At 35.8% G+C, this 19,858-nt stretch overlaps 1 protein-coding gene and 1 long non-coding RNA gene across 8 annotated transcripts in view; both read right to left on the reverse strand.

Annotated features, from left to right (window-relative positions):
* Positions 1-19,858, reverse strand: part of ACBD6 (acyl-CoA binding domain containing 6) — a 232,925-nt gene that overhangs the window by 143,931 nt on the left and 69,136 nt on the right. For all 7 annotated transcript variants that reach the window (XM_047432083.1, XM_047432080.1, XM_047432082.1 and 4 more), the window contains exon 4: positions 16,597-16,679. In XM_047432083.1, coding sequence (XP_047288039.1) covers positions 16,597-16,679 — 83 coding nt within the window. The remainder of the gene's footprint in view (positions 1-16,596; positions 16,680-19,858) is intronic.
* LOC105371637 (uncharacterized) lies at positions 3,419-16,560 on the reverse strand. Its single transcript, XR_922334.3, has 2 exons — positions 10,480-16,560; positions 3,419-4,340 (listed from the first exon to the last, which is right to left on the reverse strand). It is a non-coding gene; the product is annotated as an uncharacterized LOC105371637 (long non-coding RNA).

The following is a 19,858-nucleotide window of genomic DNA, read 5'->3' on the forward strand; positions in this document are numbered from 1 at the left end:
AAAATTTTACATGAACAGTAACAGTTTTTCAGTAGCTGTAATATATCCAACTCCTGAAAAGACTAAAGTTCTTAGTTTCCTACTTGCCTTACAGGATAAGAGAATAAAGTGTTACTCAAGTTTTAAAAATATATATGAAAGTGATTTTCTTAAAGCAAAGAAAATCAATTAGACAAAAAGAGGGGGGCATTAAAAAATTCAAAAATCCTTTATAAGATAGTAGAATCAAAGACTAGAAAGAAAAGCTGGGAAGCATACTACATACCCAGCACTCTTCTAAGTATATTGCACGTGCTAATTCACTTAATCTTTCATGCAACTTCACTTTACAAATGAAAAAACAGGCAAAAAGGAGACGTTAAATGACCTGCCAAATGGTACTACATTTATCAAAGGTGGAATAAGAGCTAGAACTCACTTAGACCAACTGATTTTGTATACAGTACATTTTTCTATTATATTATGCTGCCTTTTGACTAATCAGCTGCAGTCTATTCCAAAATCTGAAGCAGAAGTTCTTAACATGACATCTATGAGCTCTCTAAATAATGTACAGAATTATCTTTATAACGCATGTGCATTTTTCTGGATGTTGTATGTATAGGGGGAAGAATTGTTTCAATCGGATTCTCAAAAGAATCAGTGACTCCCATAACGATCAGTAATTTAGAATATCAACAATCAAACTGCCCCATATGTGGACTGAATTTTATGAACAAGTATAAAGGAATGCATTTTGCGTTCCAAAAATCAAACTGATGTGTTTTATAACCTGCAATGCCAGAGCATCCATTCATCAGAAAGCAAAACACCTGGTCATAGGAGTTCTTCTATCCTAAAAGCCAATCTAAACATCTTGTGTCATACAGAAAGTTATTTCCAGTCATAGCTAATTTTCTTAAAAGACACTACTTTAGCATCAGCCATCTAAGTGTTCTTTAAGCCGCTTAAGTATTTTATTGAGCACCTACTACATGTAAGGCACTGGACAAGAATTTGTTGATAACAGATAAAAGGCTAAGCAAGAAAGTTTGCCTTTAAGACCCAAACAGTATAGCTGGGATGACAAAAATCTACACAGGATTAACATAAGGTAAAAGCTGGATCCTTAAAAAGGACTATAACAGAACAGGGGAAAAACAACTTGCTTCAAAGCTAGAGAAAATGATGTAGGTTTTAAGTAAGAAATCATGTTTAATAGGACTATATGGTCACTTGAAGAGGCCCTGTTAAACAGAAGAGAAAATGCTTTTTCGATCACTTATTCTGTAAAGAAAATAAGAAGTGAGGTCAAACCCCAGAAAAGAGAATTCTGATTTTAGAAAGTAGAGCTGCAAATAATACCACGTTAGCCATATTTAACCACCATTAAAAACACCATGTTTCGGGAGGCTGAGGCATCAGAATGGCGTGAACCCGGGAGGCAGAGCTTGCAGTGAGCCGAGATTGCGCCACTGCACTCCAGCCTGGGCAACAGAGCGAGACTCCATCTCAAAAAAATAAAAAAAACAAAAACAAAAACAAAAAACAAACAAACAAAAAAAACCAAAAACAAACATCAGGTCTGCATTTTGGGAGGCCAAGGCGGGTGGATCATAAGGTCAGGAGTTCGAAACTAGCCTGACCAACATGGTGAAACCCCGTTTCTACTAAAAATACACAAATTAGCCAGGCGTGGTGACACGTGCATGTAATCCCAGCTACTCAGGAGGCTGAGGCAGGAGAATCACTTGAACCCAGGAGGCAGAGGTTGCAGTGAGCCGAGATCATACCACAGCACTCCAGCCTGGGTGACAGAGCAAGACTAAGTCTCAAACAAACAAACAAACACACGCAAAAAAAAAAACACCATGTCTATGAAAGAATACCTTCAGAGTTCCAACTTAAGGATAATAGGGACCTACTTTCTTCCAATCCAGTAACAGAAAACCCACTAATTCAAGAGGCACCAACTTCAACTGTTACAGAAAGAACTGTGTCTTTTAAAGTCATAGCAATACTACAGTGCTACTCGCCAATTGTTTCTGAATTGGAAAATAATGGGAAGTTGGTGGTAGGGCACAGAAAGGAAAGCAGAAGGATCCTTGGCATGTGGGTTACGCATACCCAGTATATGTAAGCGTTATTCACAGATGAGAGGACCTTTGGAGTGGCCCCTCTTCCTGAGTCCAACTTCCAAATGTGCATGTATACCGTTGTAAGCAGTAAAAAAGTAAACACAGTACAAACACATATAAATTTCTATTTTGTTTAATGTATCTTAAATATGTTTCTTAGACACATCAAATATATCAACTAGTTTTTTTTGCTATGTGAATTTTTTGGAGGGCAGGTAGCATTTGTTTAAGTATTTGTTTATCGTATATAGTTTATCATCACCAAATATGCTAGGCACAGAGATATTAACAAAATACTTCAGGATAGTATACACATATAAATTAAATACCAAAAAGAGAAGTTCAATAAATTCGCCAAAAATGCTACAAGGCTGAATGACGAATATAAAAAAATTAAGTGACACTCTTGGGCTTACTTGTTAAATACAGCTATCCAATCCCACACCAAATTTTGAGTATCTTACCTTCTACAACCAAGCTGTTTTTATACAATGTCACCATCTAGTGGCCAAAATGAAGAAACATCTACAGCAATATCATTCCATATTTCCTTTCTTGCCCCCTAAAATTATGTACAATGTATAAATCAAACTTTCTCCCTCTACCATTTTCTAAGAGCTCAATACAGCCTTCCATAGTCAATCTTGCCCACTATATCCATGCTTATTTGAAACAAAATAACATGCAAATGAATCCAACCATTATGAAACACAGTAGAGCCTTAAATAAATAAATGTGTCTCTCCATATCTTTATTTTCCTTTCTTGATTTTTTACTCAGGTATCTTGTTCCCTCTCTTTGTGAATCTCAAAATTATCATATTCATTATCTATAGATGACTGTGAGTTATGTTTATGATGCTACCCTAAAGGATGTCCCATGTTATCTCTAGCACAAAACAGAAAGTCTCTTCTTCAGGTTACTACAACTTTTCTGAAATTGACAGCAAATACATTTATATTCCTGAAGGAATAATCACTGGTTTTGACATTCTTTTGAAATATCAGAGCACACTCTATGGGAAAGAGGGAGAGTGTTTAAGTACGGCTTTTTCACCCAATCACAGGAAGATCCTTGCCCATTCCTAAATATGTTATCTGTACCATTTTCTACTCAGATAGCATTTTCTTATCAAAATAATATTTCAAATAGGTCTCATGGCAAGACATATAAAGTCCATTTAACTACAAAAATTATGGAAGGAACTAGCTTGGAAATCTATTTAATAGGCACATTCAACAAATATTCAATTCAATTCATGTATTTACTAAGCAACTGGAAATCAGATATAAAACACAGTATTCTAGTAAATAGACAATGAATAAGTATTTATTGCATGAATGAAAATCCAAAGAAAGTAAGCCAATATCTACAAAGATAAAAACAAATGCCATAATTCCTCAAACTAAGGAATTTGTGGGCTCTAGGGTACATAAACTCCTTTAAAGAGATATGCAGGTATAGATCATTTTAAGTGACTCAATTTCCAGCTCTTCATCTTCTAGATAAATGTATTCTTTACTAAACTGATCTACCTGAAAGGGTTCCTGTGGCAAATATTTCATTACCATTCTCCTTTTCCACATTCCCTCTGCTCAAACACTCTTCTCCTCGTTTGTAAAGGAGAGGCATTACACCTCTCTCCTTACTATAGTTAGTATACTTCAGGAAGTATAACCAAAAGACGGAGGCAAAAAAGCATTCTGAGTGATTTCTCTGGAGAAAGACAGTTCATTCATGAGGTCTCATTAGGACCATGGCTAAGGCAATCCTCAAAATGATACACTTTCCCTGGCTCTATTTTTATGTTCACAAATAATCATTTAACTATTAATCTGTTTTTCTGGACTCCTCAATTCTCAGAAAGGAGGGACCCAGCACTTCAATCACTACAAAGACATAGTCCCTTTGGTAAGCAAACAAGCATTTTAGTTTACACCTCAGTTTTGGGCCAATTTTATTATTCCTACTCTGTTTCTAAGGGTCTGCTTGATCTACGGATCTTTTTTCTACATCTTTGAGGTTGAAAAATGGACTCTGATCAATGGTAATTCACCAAAAATGCCACTCTGTGAAGTTCCTTTGGAGGTAGTCTTTCTAGGATAAAAGCTGGCACTGCACACTATCTTCCAAAATTCAGTCATACTGCTAGTGAATATTACTTCTTTGTAGGAATTTAAGTTCCTGATTTACTTGTTGGATGTATGGCCAGAAGTTGTTGATCTGAAAGGCAAAGAAATGTATTCTGTTCAAATATAATGTTAGAAAATAATGCCGTCATCTCACTGATTTCAACTATGTTTTTCAACATTCTGTATATGCCAAATATAAAACTCAAAGTCTAATGTTCTTTTTAATATAATCTTTCACATATCTAATCTTAATTTTATAAATATAATTTTTATATAATCTTTATCTGATGAAACCATCAATATTTTATAAGTTGAGATTAAAAAGTATGTTTTAATTTATAAATATAAAACAATCATACAGGCAGGCATATATTAATTTTACTTACAGATGTTTTTCTCCCTGAAAAAAAGAATCTATTCTTACTCAAAGGTGTTTAGTGAAGCTCATTTAAGACTTATATGAGGAAGTGTGTGGTGGCTCACACCTATAATCCCAGCACTTTGGGAGGTCAAGGAGGGAGGATCACTTGAGCGCAGGAGTTTGAGACCAGCCTGGGCAACACAGCAAGACCCTACCTCTACAAAAAAAATTTCAAATTAGCTGGGTGTGGTGGTGCGTGCCTGTAGTCCTACCTATTTGGGAAGCTAAGGTGATAGGATCAATTAAGCACAGGAGTTTGAGGTTACAGTGAGCTATAATCACACCACTCCAGCCTAGGCAACAGAGAAAGATCCTGTCTCTTAAAAAAGAAAAAAAAAAGACTTATCTGGGAGAAGCAAAATAGGTAAAATCAAATCCTAAATCAAGGATTAAATAGTCATGGCTGCCATACTTAGCACACTGAAAACCCCCACTTCTAATTAATATCTAATTAAAATTACAGATGTTGATTTCACATTGTAGGATACTGTTTTTGACTCTCAATCTTACCAAAGACAACAAATGAGAATCTATACTATGATCCTCAGGTAAAATCTTGCAAATAGTACCTCCTTTCTGAAAAACCTTGGTTTAATCCCTGGAAGAGGCAAAACATTGCTTGGGCAGTAACCACATGTAAGAAGCCTAGCCTTCAAAACAAAGTACTTAATAAAGTGTTTTTTTGTGTGTTGTGCTGTTCTTAAAATCATTCTTGAGGCCGGGCGCGGTGGCTCACACCTGTAATCCCAGCACTTCGGGAGGCCGAGGCGGGTGGATCACGAGGTCAGGAGATCGAGACCATCCTCGCTAACACGGTGAAACCCCGTCTCTACTAAAAATACAAAAAATTAGCCAGGCATGGTGGTGGGCGCCTGTAGTCCCAGCTACTTGGGAGGCTGAGGCAGGAGAATGGCGTGAACCCAGGAAGCGGAGCTTGCAGTGAGCAGAGATCGCGCCACTGCACTCCAGCCTGGGTGACAGAGCGAGACTCCGTCTCAAAAAAAAAATATATTGTTCTTGAAATCCTGGATGACAAATAGACATTTGGAAACTATTACCTTGTCATATTTCATTGATTCTAAATGCAAATTTTTTTCATGTTAACATCTCCTATGAATCTTATAATCTGCAGCATCTTACAATTAAATGATGGCATGTTTTTCTTATAATGGTATTTAAATAATGGTGTGCAGGAGTCAAGGAGGTAATAAGGTAGGTTCAAAATACACAGTACCCAATGGACTAGTGAAATGACCAAAGGAATTCGTATAAGTTGACCCTTAAACAACACGGAGGGTGGGGGGCACCGACCCCCTGCATAGTCAAAAATCTGCATGTAACTCGACTCCCCAAAAACTTAACTACTAGTAGGCTACTGTTGACCTGAAGGCTTATCGATAAACAGTTGATAAATTTTTATTTGTGTTATATAGTATATTCTTATAATAAAGTAAGCTAGAGAAAAGAAAATGTTACTAAGAAAATCATAAGGAAAATATACATTCATTAAGTGGAAGTGGATCATCATAAAGGTCTTCACCCTGTTGTCTTCACAGGCTGAAGAGGGGCTGGTCTTGCTGTCTCAGCACTGGCAGAGGCAGAAGAGGTGGCAGGTGAGGCAGGCACACTCAGTGTAGCTTTGTGAAAATACACCATAATTTCTCCCTTTTTAGTTTGTTTCTCTAAAAGTTTTTATACAGTACCAATCCTTTCACCATTTGCTTAAGTTTGGGTGCCCATATCATAGAAGGGTCCATGTAGTAAAAGTCAAAAGCAGTCTTAAATAATCAGAACGCTTCTGCAAGACTGTCTAATGTCAATCTCTTTGGGGCATTATTTATTCTACATCTTGTTCCTCATCATATCTATCTGGTTTGGAAGCAATCATTTCCATCAAGTCGTCTTCTGTTAATTCCTCTAGTGTGGTGTCTATTAGCTCTTTAATTTCTTCAAGATCTATATCTTAAAACCAACTCTCTGCCCCGCCCTGCCACACATTTTTGCCATACTCACAATCTTTCATGATTTCCTTGATTGGCTCTGTCGTAAATCCTGTGAAGTCACATATAACATGTAGACAGTTTTCTCCAGCAGAAATTTATTGCTTCAGGCATGACGGTTTTCACCGCCGTTTCTATAATGACAGCATCTCCAATGGATCCTTCCCGACCTTCATAATGTTCTATCAGGGTTCTCTTTCGTGGTGTTGACAATCCTTTCCATAGAGTACCATGTGTAATGAGCCTTAAAGGTCCTTATAACCCCCCGATCTAGAGGGTGAATTAGAGATGTTGTATTTGGGAGCCAGTAGATTGCAGTAGATGCCTTCAGTGTTGAACTCATGAATTTCTGAGTGGCTGGAGAACTGTCCAATATTGAAAGAACTTTAAAAGGCGGTCTCTTACTAGAAAGGTACCTCCTGACTTCAGGGAAAAAGAATCAATGGAACCAATCCAGAAAAAGGGTTCTCATTGTCCGGGGCTTCTTATTGTACAACCAAAAGACCAGAAGACGGTGTTTACCTTTTCCCTTCAAGGCACAGGGGTTAACAGTTTTATAGGTAAGTATAGTGTTGATCATAAACCCGCCTGAATTTGCAGAAAACAGAGGTAGCCTATCCCTTCCTGCCTTAAATCCTGGTGCTTCCTTCTCTCCCTTACTAATAAATGTCCTTTGTGGCATTTTTTTCCTCCCCCAGAATATGGCATTTCTGTCTACATTAAACACCTGTTCATGCAAATAGATATCCTCTCTCCTCAATGATTTTTTTTTCAAGTTCGGGGTACATGTACAGGATGTGCAGGTTTGCTACATATGTAAATAGGTGCCATGGTGGTTTGCTGCACAGACTGTCTCATCACCTAGGTATTAAGCCCAGCATCCATTAGCTAGCTGTTCCACCTGATGCTCTCCCTCCCCCTACTCCCCAAGGAGCTTAGTGTGTGTTGTTTCCCTCCATGTGTCCATGTGTTCTCATCATTCAGCTCCCACTTACAAGTGAGAACATGTGGTGTTTGGTTTTCTCTTCCTGTGTTAGTTTACTAAGGACATTGGCTTCCAACTCCATCCATGTCCCTGCAAAGGACATGATCTTGTTCCTTTTTATGGCTGTATAGTATTCTACATTTTCTTTATCCAGTCTATCATTGATGGGTGTTTAGGTTGATCCCATGTCTTTGCTATTGTGAATAGTGCTGTGATGAACATATGCATGCACGTAACTTTATAACAGAATGATTTATATTCCTTTGGGTATATACCCAGTAAAGGGATTGCTGAGTCAAATGTTATTTCTGCCTCTAGGTCTTGCAGGAATTGTCACACTGTCTTCCACAATGGTTGAACCAATTTGCACTCCCACCAACAATGTATAAAGTGTTCCTTTTTCTCCACAATCTCACCAGAATCTGTTGTTTTTTGACTTTTTAATAACAGCCATTCTGACTGTTACTAAAAGAGAGGCATGAGAAGGCATCTCATTATGGTTTTGATTTGCATTTCTCCAACGATCAGTGATGTTGAGCTTTTTTTCACATGTTTGTTGGCTGCATGTACATCTTCTTTTGAAAAGTGTCTGTTCATGTCTTTTGCCCACTTTCTAATGTTTTTTTTTCTTGTAAATTTGCTTATTTGTTGCCTCTTGGTGAGAAGAAGTTGTTTCTCCTATTATCTTGACCTTTCTAAAGTCAAACCTCTTTCTAAACTTATCAAATCATCCTTTGCTGGCATTACATTTTCCAGGTATAGATCCTTCACCTTCCTTTTGCTTTGTCACAGAATGACTTTTTTCTCAAATCATAGTAGAGTCTCTAAGTATGCCTTTCCTATAGCAATACTACACCTACATAAAAGCTGAACTTACAATATGAGATTAAAAGATATTGCACAAAATGTGCAAGGTTCTTGTACTTGCCAGTGTAGCTGTGGTGATGGTTCATGAATTCCCTTTTCTTTTTTCTTTTTTTTTTTTGAGATGGAGTCTCGCTCTTTCACCCAGGCTGCAGTGCAGTGGCATGATTTCGGCTCACTGCAACCTCCACCTCCCGGGTTCAAGCAATTCTCCTGCCTCTGACTTCTGAGCAGCTAGGATTACAAGCGCACACCACCACTCACGGCTAATTTTTGTATTTTTTGCAGAGATGGGGTTTCAACATGTTGGCCACGCTGGTCTCGAACTCCTGACCTCAGGTGATCCACCCGTCTTGGCCTTCGAAGGTGCTCCCAAGGCCACCCTGTGAGCCACCACACCTGGCCCATCCCTTTTCTTTTTTACAGAAGTCCGTAATGCTCAATTAATTTACCCTGAAATGGCAGACAACCACAGCTGCAGACCTCAATCTACAATACGTATTAAGCAATTCAACTTTTTCTTATAATGTCATGACATTTCTCTGCTTTTTGGGAGTACTTCCAGCATCACTAGTGGTACTTCATATGGGTCTCATGGTGTTATTCAAGGTTTAGAGTATAGTGCTACATACAATGATAAAATACTCAAAAACCACAAGAGATCACTGTTTACTGTTATACGCAGTTTACTGGAGGGACAAACTGCTCACTTGGAGATGATTAGCGTCTTGGCATTTTAAGTGGATACTAGCAACACTTGAGCTCACCACACTAGCCATAGGAGGTAGCTACAAAAGTACTGCAGTAGTATAGTATGTACTACAGTTAATTTCATGCAGTTATGATTTAATACTGCATCTTTGCTTTTTTTTTACATTTTTCTGGATTGAGAATGGCACCAGATATGGTCTGCTAGTGTTTATGTGCCTACATTGTGATGAACTTTTTATAACAGATTTGTGTACATTTTATGGTAGTAAATGAAAAAATGGACTAGTATCTACATATATTTTATGCATTCATGCCATATCTTTTTCTTAATTTTTTGGATATTTTAGGCTACATAGTTCATCTGCAAGTGTTTTCAAATTGCTGCAAATTTCCAAAAAAGTTTCCAATATATTTACTGAAAAACATCAACGTATAAGTGGACCTATGCAGTCACAACCTGTGTTTTTTGAGCAGAAATTATATTTTGAATCACAATTCCTGCATCACAGTGCCATATCTGCAACTGATTTCAGACAGTTATAGAAACAAACCAGTTAGTTTTCCCCCTTCCTGTCATATGATAATGGCAACATCTTCTTCTACTACATAACTATTTTCAGACTGAATTATATTAATATATGCAAGGTACTTAGTTCTAGGTCTAGAAAATTCTTAAAGCCTTCAAATTGAAACTTCCATTTGTTATACTATTTACGTTGGTAAGGGTCCCTTCAAATAAAACTACATATATTTTTATGTATTTTTCTCACAATCTTTCAATAAAGTATTGACAAAGAAAAAAATCAATGACCCAGATATTTCTTACAGATAATTAGTTATACTGGAGAAGTTACATAACCATAACTTATAAAGACACCATTTACTAAAAATGTATTTTCACCCCTTAAAAGCTGCTTAACCTTAAACAAACTTGACTGAAAATTTCTGATACTTTAAATGCCAATAACATAAAATGTAGTTAAGTTCTAATAAATCTCTGGAAAATCAGTTGCCGTATCAGAAAAAGCACAGATCCGCTTTCCTAAAAGTCTCTACAGAGCTGAGTTACATTCTCAACCATTAAGGTAAGTCTAAAATCAGTAAGATAATCGATCCAAAGGAAATATCATCATCAGTACATTGATACATGAAAGACCAAAGTCTCCAATTTTACCAGGAAAGTACATTTTTTTAAAACATTAAATGGAAAAGAAATTTTATTTTAAAAATTTTAACTGAAGATACTCACCATATTAAATAGTAACAACTATCAGACTCAATTTCATTAACTAGAGATTATGATTCCTCAAACATTTCCAGAGCCAGCATAGCACAGTAATTAACAGCAGCGTTACTAACTATGTGACCCTGGGCAAGTAAGTTAACTTCTCTGAATTTCAGTTTCCTTATCTGTAAAAAAAAGAATATTAATAGCATCTATATTTAATAGGGTCATCCTAAAGATTAAGAGAAGTAATACATATAGTATGGTTACTATACTAGCATATAATAAATGGTCAATAAATGTTAACTGTCATTATTCTTATCTTAAGAATTCAGCATATATTGTAAGCTGGAGGTCATTCCTCATACCCTACGTGTCAATTAATCTAATAAATATTAATTAGAACTTCAAGGAAAAAAATAAGCCAATGTGGTTGGAACAGAGTGAAAAAGGGGGTGAGCGGAAAACTGGCATTAGATGAGATGGTAAGGGGTCCTGTTCATATTATTTGTAATGCATATTCTGCTTCTCATTACTGTAATGGATACAGTATACCCACAACCTCTATATATCTTTATATATGCACACATACATACACACACCAAATTTTGTAAACAAGCATTTCATAGGTACCACATACAGATAAGGATATGGGAAGAAGAGAAAGAAAAATTAGATGGGGTAGACAGGAAAGAGAGAACAAAACTGGAAAAAGGAAGAGGAGAAGAAAAAAGAAGAAAACAGAGAGGAAGAAAAGGTGATGGTTTCAGTTGATGAATGACCCTTGGTTCAGAAAGGGCTAGATTTGTGTACATGCTTGGTTGGCATCATGACACTGAGCACACAGGAGGTAAATGAAGCACGCTAGAAAAGGGTGAATATGAGAGCCAGGAGACTCTTACAACAGTTACTGTTTATGTCAAGACCCACATGTCCCAGGGGACCCATTTTCACATAATCTATAATTATCTCTTCGCTTTAATCGCCTTGTCATTCCTGAGGTTCTCATGGGCACTGGAAGAGGAAAAGCTCATTAACTAAACCTTTTCTCCTCTCTCCAGCCACCCATGGCTTTTAATTGCTTGGTGTGTTATTATCTAGGAGTGCAACTGGAATCATTTTCATAAGAAAGGGAGGTAGAGAGGAGGAAGGGAGCCATGAGTCCCTGAGGTATGCACCAAAGACAAACCTTTGCTTTCTCAATTATTTATGCCAGCTGAGGTTTTACAGGCTGAATAAATCCATAACTCAAGTTCATTCTGAGCAGTCAGATTCTCCAGGGGGAGTTGCCCACTTGCCTATACCCACTTGTGTAGTCCTCAAAGAATAACCAGAATTTAACAAGACATATGTCATCCAATTTATCACCTATCACCAAGGTGTTAACACAATGTTGATCATAGGCAACATGGTGAAATAGAGAAGTATTACACTACCACCAGCCAAACAGATGGAGGGAAGCTTTTTGGTGCTAAAGGCAGTGGTATCATTAGGATAGTGGTGTTCCAGAATGACGGCCTGTTAAATGCATAAAAATCCAAATATTCATTTTTTAAAACACAAATATGTAGAACACATACTCTTGAAGCTTAAGAATCTTTAAGTAGATTTGTTAAAAACAGGCTGCAATGTAACAATGTGAAGCTTTGAATGAATAAATAGAATTTTATAACATCTGATTTTAGAAGTAATTTACAATAAAACTATACACGTTACAGCTTTTTCTCCAATCATATCTCTTTCAGGAAAATTTTAGAGTATAATTTATGCATGACAGGCTTTTATGCTACTTCCAAGTTAGTTCATATTTCACCAAGAATACAAAATTAAAGCATAAAACAATCACTTTCATTCTAATTTTTTATACTTATATTCTTCCATTTATAATCAGGACTAGACAGCAGCCAATGAAAAGATATTTGGGAAATATTTTCAAAATCCATTATTGTTTAAAAATGGAAACTTTATAAGTCAATGATTAAAGCATCTCTTTGAAATTCTACAGGCTTTTGTGTCTGACCACAAGCAGCAACCTCTTGTATTTTCTGCCAAAACACTTCATTTGTCTCACAGAACAACTAATCAATTCCAGAGCCCATCAATCATTTCAGTTGTATACTAGGACTGGTCTTGCTTAGAGAAGGTCCAGATGGCTGTCTGTGTAAGCAGAATTAATAAAATTCTAATAGATTACATGACATCAAACTACAAAATATAACAGGGAGGATCAAATCTTATTGCAGGGTGGTGTGGGTACTGTTCAATCTTCATTTACTACATTTTTAATTCTTACCCTAATTTCTCAATTTATGTGCAAACTTCTAGATCAAACCTTTGAAGCATGCAAGTAACCAGAAGCAATTTCTTGTATATGTAGTGCAGAATCATCTTACTCTACAAACCCCTATGCTTATTGACCAGTACTTTTTCTGCCCATCTGCGGTATAAATGAAAAACAGCTGATCGCAAAACCAGAGGTTACTCCCTGTTATAAGATTTGTTACTCTCGTTTCTATAGTTCTAAAAATATTGGCTCTCCCTTCCTTGTTTTCCATTTTCTTTTGCAAAAGCAAACAACTTGCATTTAATTATATAACCAGAATGCCATGTTATTGTAGCTCCTAACATCAGCTCCTGGCTCCTCTGTAGGGACTCCCTCTGCCGAATAACAATACTATTTATAAAAGCTAACAGTTACACAGTAACTTATTTTGCACCAGGTACTGTTCGAGGATGTCTATGTATTCACATAATCTGCTAAGTATCAAGTGAGATAAGTACTATAATTATCCCCATTTTACAGGTAAGTAACTTGCCCAAGATCACACAGCTAGTAAGTGGTGGAACTAGCATTTGAATGCCAGCGGTTTGGCTCCATAATTTTTTGTACTTAATTAGAATCCCCCTACACCCCCTCAATTATATTACAGAACAATTAACTTGCTTCAGAATGAGAAATTGATGTCAGAGCTCTGCAATATTAACACAGAGATCTGAACCTCTGACATTATATTGATACTTTCTATGACAGAGTAGAAAGCAGGAAGCAAGCTCAGAATTGGCCCCACTGGCCCTTGGCTCAAACTCATAACTCATCATCTATTATACAATACACATTCGTCAGAAAAGCTGCCACAACAATGGAACCCAAACTTAACCAAATGGATTTATTAGATAGTGATTTGCCTGATCTTTACAAATGTAAAAAAAATCTGGAGTTATAAAGTATCAAAACAAACCTTCAAAATACATTATTTTATGTCCTTTTTTAAAAATAACAGTTCCATAGAAAAGAATTTTTGCTTTCATCCAAGTCTACCATTTGATGCTTCTAAAACTCTAAAACCTACTGTCACTTTCGCCTCAGTTAAATATAATTCTGCCAAGAAATTGCAATTAATATCAATTAAAGCACAACTTTCTCTTAGAAAAATAAAACACCAGATATATTTCACCAAAATACAAGCATAATTTGATTACATAACTTCAAGAAATAACCCATTTTCATTGTTGCAATTGCATTCTGATACGTAAGAAACCATACGGACTACATCTGGCTCTTCACTGGAATAATCCAACATTTCAGTACATAAGAATTTTCATGCCAGGCACAGCGGCTCACGCCTGTAATCCCAGCACTTTGGGGAGGCCAAGGCAGGTGGATCACGAGGTCAAGAGATCGAGACCATCCTGGCTAATATGGTGAAACCCTGTCTCCACTAAAAATACAAAAATTAGTTGGGCATGGTGGTGCGCCTGTAGTTCCAGCTACTCAGGAGGCTGAGGCAGGGGAATCGCTTGAATCCAGGAGGCAGATGTTGCAGTGAGCTGAGATCATACCACTGCACTCCAGCTTGGTGACAGAGCAAGACTCTGTCTCAAAAAAAAAAAAAAAACCAAAAACCAAAAAACAACGAATTTTCATTATGGCCTAATTTGTTATAATGGAATTCTACACTATAAAAAGAACTCTCCCAATACAAGAGTATGATTAGTTGCTGTAATTTCTGATCTGCTGTAGTAGTAACAAAATTACTGTGTTTGTAATAGTTAAACAGCTTTCAATGGCTTGCTCACATTCATGTTTCTTACTCTTTCTTAACAATATGTTCAGAATATGAAGATTTAGATGATATCATAAGACTAATACTTAATGAAGACTTCATGAAAAAAAGGCCAAGTCTAACCAATTTTGCCCACAAAGGTTCATATTTCATTCAATTAATATTTATTAAACATACTTTCATGAAAATGCCAAAAGTAGTAAGAACATATTATTCAAAAGTGAAGAAGTTGAGAAGCACAAATATTCCAATGTTTTCTGTCATTATAGGTTCATAATAAATGTGTGTTGAATTGAATTTAAATCTCTACAAAAATAAACTGTATTATTCTTTGTCATTGTTTATCACTGTCAAAATTCTAAATACTGATTTAAATCTAAGAATCACTTCACTAGCAATTGGGTGGGGGATAAAGGAAGGAAGATTAACCCTTTCAATACAGTTTAACTCTATCTCAGGATTTCTACTCTCACTACAACTGGAGTACATTTGATTTGCTTCGTGTTCTGTAGGGCTGCTGTGATCAGTCACGTCATCAGACATTTGAAAAGAAAATGTATTCAGTACATCATTTTGAAAAATACTAGAGTATGGGAGCCCTTAAGGAAAATGGCATACAAAATAAAGATCATTATGATTTACAGATAAGTGACTGATATTGTTAGAAACTTAAGCTTAGTAATTTTTTTAAAAGGAAAGTCAAGAAACTATCTCAATTTATTTATCTAACTAGGAAAGAAAAATAGCCTATACATTTTTTATTGCTTAAGAGAAAGAGGTTAGGATAGGCATATCACAGAAGAACCAAACCAGCAGCTCTCTGTCTTACAATAGGGCTCTTAGGCTAACTCTACATAAGCAATAGTCACTAAACTATCAGCTCTTCAAGGGAAGCAGCTGTGGCTACCTCCCAAGTTCTGAGTACTTTCACTGAAGATCTACTAAGTTTGGGGGCCTTCCTCAGATAGTGAGAATGCAAAGATGGGTAAAATATGATCTTCACTATCAAAAACTAAAAGCTAAAAGTATTTCTAAGTATACAGTTCAGTAGTGTTAAGTATATTCACACTGTTGTGCAATCCCCGTAACTTTTTCATCTTGTAAAACTGAAACTCTGTCCCCATTAAACAACTTCCCATTTCCCCTACCCCCAGCTCCTGGCAACCACCATTTTACTGTCTCTCTGATTTTTGAATCCTTTCTGTTTCTGTGAGTTTGACTACTCTAAATACCTTATGTAAGTATAATCGCAAAGTGTTTGTGTTCTTGTGACTGGCTTATTTCACTTAGCGTAATATCCTCAAGGTTCATACATGTTGCAACAGCTGTCAAAATTTCCTTCCTTTTTAAGGCTGAATAATATTCCATTGTATATACCACATTTTGTTTATCCATCCATCTGTCAACAGATGCTTCCACCTATTGGCTACTGTATAGAATGCTGCTATGAACATGGGTGTGCAAATATGTCTTTGAGATTCTGCTTTCTTGTTTCTGCTTCTTGAGAAACAGAATTGGTGGATCATATGGTAATTCTATTTTAACTTTCTGAGGAAACTTCCGTTTTCCACAGTGGCTGTATCATTTTATACTCCAAAATTACTTTTAATTTACAGCAAATTAAATTAACTTTTAATTAAACAAATTAAAAAATTAAAATATTTAAAATAATAGTATTTTGAGGAAAATTAACACAAAAATCCTTAGCTTTAGATTGAGACACAACATCTTGTCCCACCAACTACTTGTGTGGGGAAAGTCATTGAATGAGACAGTCGTCACTAGACACCAATGAAAAGTAATTATTATCACTTATTCAGACTTATCTGGCACTGGTTCAGACATTTAATTGATTTTAAAGATTATACACCTAAAAAATTATTTCCTGTCATTTATTGTCCTGCTGGCAAATACCACCAAATCAGTTTCATGTTAAGAAGGAATGCTTCACAAATTGAAGATTTCAGGATTAAAAATATATAGTACACATATACACATACATAAGCACATACATACAAACACATGCACACACACAGGCATATATATTTCTATTATCAAAGATCAGAAGAGAAATTACCTGATGGTTTCTTCATGATATAGAGAACTAATAACTGGCCCACCAAAACCTGTATTTGCTTCTTTTCCTTTCTTCTCTGGTATCTGTGGGAAGGAGAAAAAAAAGTGAAAAAAAGACAAATGGGTTAAAACAATAGGTATTTAAATCAGTTACAAAATGTTATTTTGCTAAGAAAGACTAAGGATTTTACCCTCAACCATCTCTTCAAACCCTAGTAAAACTTTTAAGGTGGTAACAGAAAGGCAATAGGATTCTCAGGTCATCACAGGAGTGGAATGGGTACCTGGCTGGCAATCTAAGGTATTCCAGTACAGCCTTCTGGAGCCACCAAAAAACAATTCTCCTAGCTGACTGTGAGATGATGTTCAATGTGGTAAATATGGATGTTCAGGTGAGAAAAAGAAAAATAAATCCCAGACATGAATGTGATCAGCAAAATCGTATCTAGATTTATAAAAGTTCCCAAATAAGAAGCTACATTACAGTAAAAGTTCAAATTTAATTATAAAGAAAATGTTTTTGGGTTAAAAAAAAAAAAAAGGAAGGAGAAAAGGTAGAGGAGGGATAGGAAAGGAGGTTTATATCTCAAATAAAAGAAAAAAGAAGCAAACTGCACAGAAATACTTTCCAAACTCAAGGATTCAACACGTCTTGCCCCTCTATGTTCTCAAAACACACAAGAGTAAAATTAATTTAGTAATAAGATTCTTCTAAAACATGTAATGTGGAAGCAATGAACCTGGATAATACTGTCTGCAAGGATCAAAGTGCAACCTCTGCAAAACCCCATGTATTGACAGCGTTTAGTACAGGACACCCTGCAAAAGTCAAAACTCTGATTCCGGACATAAATATTCCCTTAGAATCAAAATTACATTATTATTTAATTTGACTGCAAAAAGACTAGTTTTACTTCAAATAAAATACAGTCAATCCCCATACACATTTTTTCAGTACTTAAGAGAAGTACGAGTTTTGTTTTGTTTTTTAATTGTTTGTTTCAGTCTGTGGATCACTGGGCTGAGGAAAAAGACCCCCTTCCCCGGAGATAGCATATTCTATCTGTTCCTAACACTACTGGGGGAACTAAGGTTTCAAAAAATGTTGTAAATTTTTGAGGAGATGAATCAAGTCAGTTATCAACTTGTAATAGAAACAAAGTTATAAAATCATAGACGACAACTATTAACATGATTAAATGACAAAGTATATAAAGTGTATTAGTATGATGCTAGCAAACAAGAAGCACTAGGTAAATGACAGATTTCTCTGTGCTCTGAGGGCCATTTTTAGAGAATAAATGCTATGAAGAATTTCTGGGATAGATAATGTATTTCTTTATACCAAAAAAAAGTAGAGATGATCCCCAACTTACAATGGTTCGATTTATGATATTTTTGACTTATAATAGATTTACCAGTATGTATCCTCATTATAAGCTGAGGAACGTGTACAAAGGGAGAACTTATTTTACTTAATCCAATTATATTCCAAATACATGTTCCATTGATAGGATAAAACTAAAACATACTTGGCGCTCGAGATGATAACTAAATAAATAAAACTAAAAATGAGAAAACTGGATACGAAAGGAAAAAAAATAGAGATAGAACCAAGTATGAAGTGGCAAGCATAGCTTCTTAAAAAAGAATGACTCCTAGAAGGTAACATGGCGGAAAATCTAGGTGATACTGGGTTTCGCAATGACTTTTTACATGCAATATCAAAAGTATAATCCATGACAGGCCAGGTGCAATGGCTCACACCTATAATCCCTGCACTTTGGGAGGCTGAGGCAGGTGGATCTCTTGAAGCCAGGAGTTTGAGACCAGCCTGGCCAACATGGCAAAATACCACCTCTACTAAAAATGCAAAAAACTAGCCAGGCATGGTGGTGCGTGACTGTAGTACCAGCTACCTAGGAGGCTGAAGCACAAGAATTGCTTCAGCCTGGGATGCAGAAGCTGCAGTGAGCCAAGATCACGCCACTGCACTCCAGCCTGGCAATAGAGCAAGATTCTGTCTCAAAAAAAAAAAAAAATTTATAATCCATGAGAGAAAAAAATTGATTAGTAGGTCTTTATTAAAACTGAAAATTTCTGCTCTGTGAAAGATATTGTTCAGACAATGCAATGACCAGCCATAAACTGAAAGAAAATTTGCAAAACACTTATCTAATAAAAGACTGGTATCCAAAATATTCAAAGAATTCTTAAAACTCAACACTAAGAAAATAAGTTACCCAATGAAAAACGAGTAAAAGATCTAAATGGACAACTTACCAAAGAAGATACAGAGATAGCAAATAAGCGAGTGACAAGATGTTTAAACATCATGTCATTAAAGAAATGCAAATGAAAACAAAAATGAGAAACCACTACACACCTATTGGAATGGCTAAAATCCAATATGTCCTTAAATAGATTAATAAGCAAATGATACACCCATAAAATAGGATATTATTCAGCAACACAAAGAAATGAGCTATTCTAGGTTAACTAAGAAAAAAGAAGAGTCAAATAACTCAGAAATGAAAGTGGAGATGTTACAATTAATGCCACAGAAATACAAAGAATCATAAGAGATAACTATGAACAATTACATGCCAAAAAACTGGATAACCTAGAAGAAATGAATAAATTCCTGGAAACATACAATCTACCATGACTGAATCACGAAGAAATCAAAAATCTGACAGACCTATCACCAAGAAAGAGAGTGAATCAGTAATAAAAAAAAAAACTTCCCTACAAAGAAAAGCCCAGAACCAGATCACTTCACTGGAGAATTCTATCAAATATTTAAAGAAGAATTAACACCAATCCTCTTCATACATCAAAATAATTAAAGAAAAGGGAACACTTCTAACTCATTTTATGAGGTCTTATCCTCACATCAAAGCCAAAACTACTGCAAGAAAACTAAAACCAATATCCCTGATGAATATTAATCCAAAAAATCAACTAAATATTAATAAACTGAATTTAACATTACGTTAAAAGGATTATACATCATGATCAACTGGGATTTATTCCTGGAATGTAAAGATGGTTCAACATACAAAAATCAATCATATAACACAGCATATTAATACAATGAAGGACAAAACCCACATGATCATCTCAATTGATACAGAAAAAGCATCTGACAAAATTCAACATGTGTTCATGATAAAAACACTAAATAAACTAGGAATAGAATAAAACTACCTCAACACAATAAAGGCTATATATGAAAAGGCCACAGCTAACAACATACTCAG

Source organism: Homo sapiens, chromosome 1 (assembly GCF_000001405.40).
Source record: "Homo sapiens chromosome 1, GRCh38.p14 Primary Assembly".
Taxonomy (NCBI): Eukaryota; Metazoa; Chordata; class Mammalia; order Primates; family Hominidae; genus Homo; species Homo sapiens.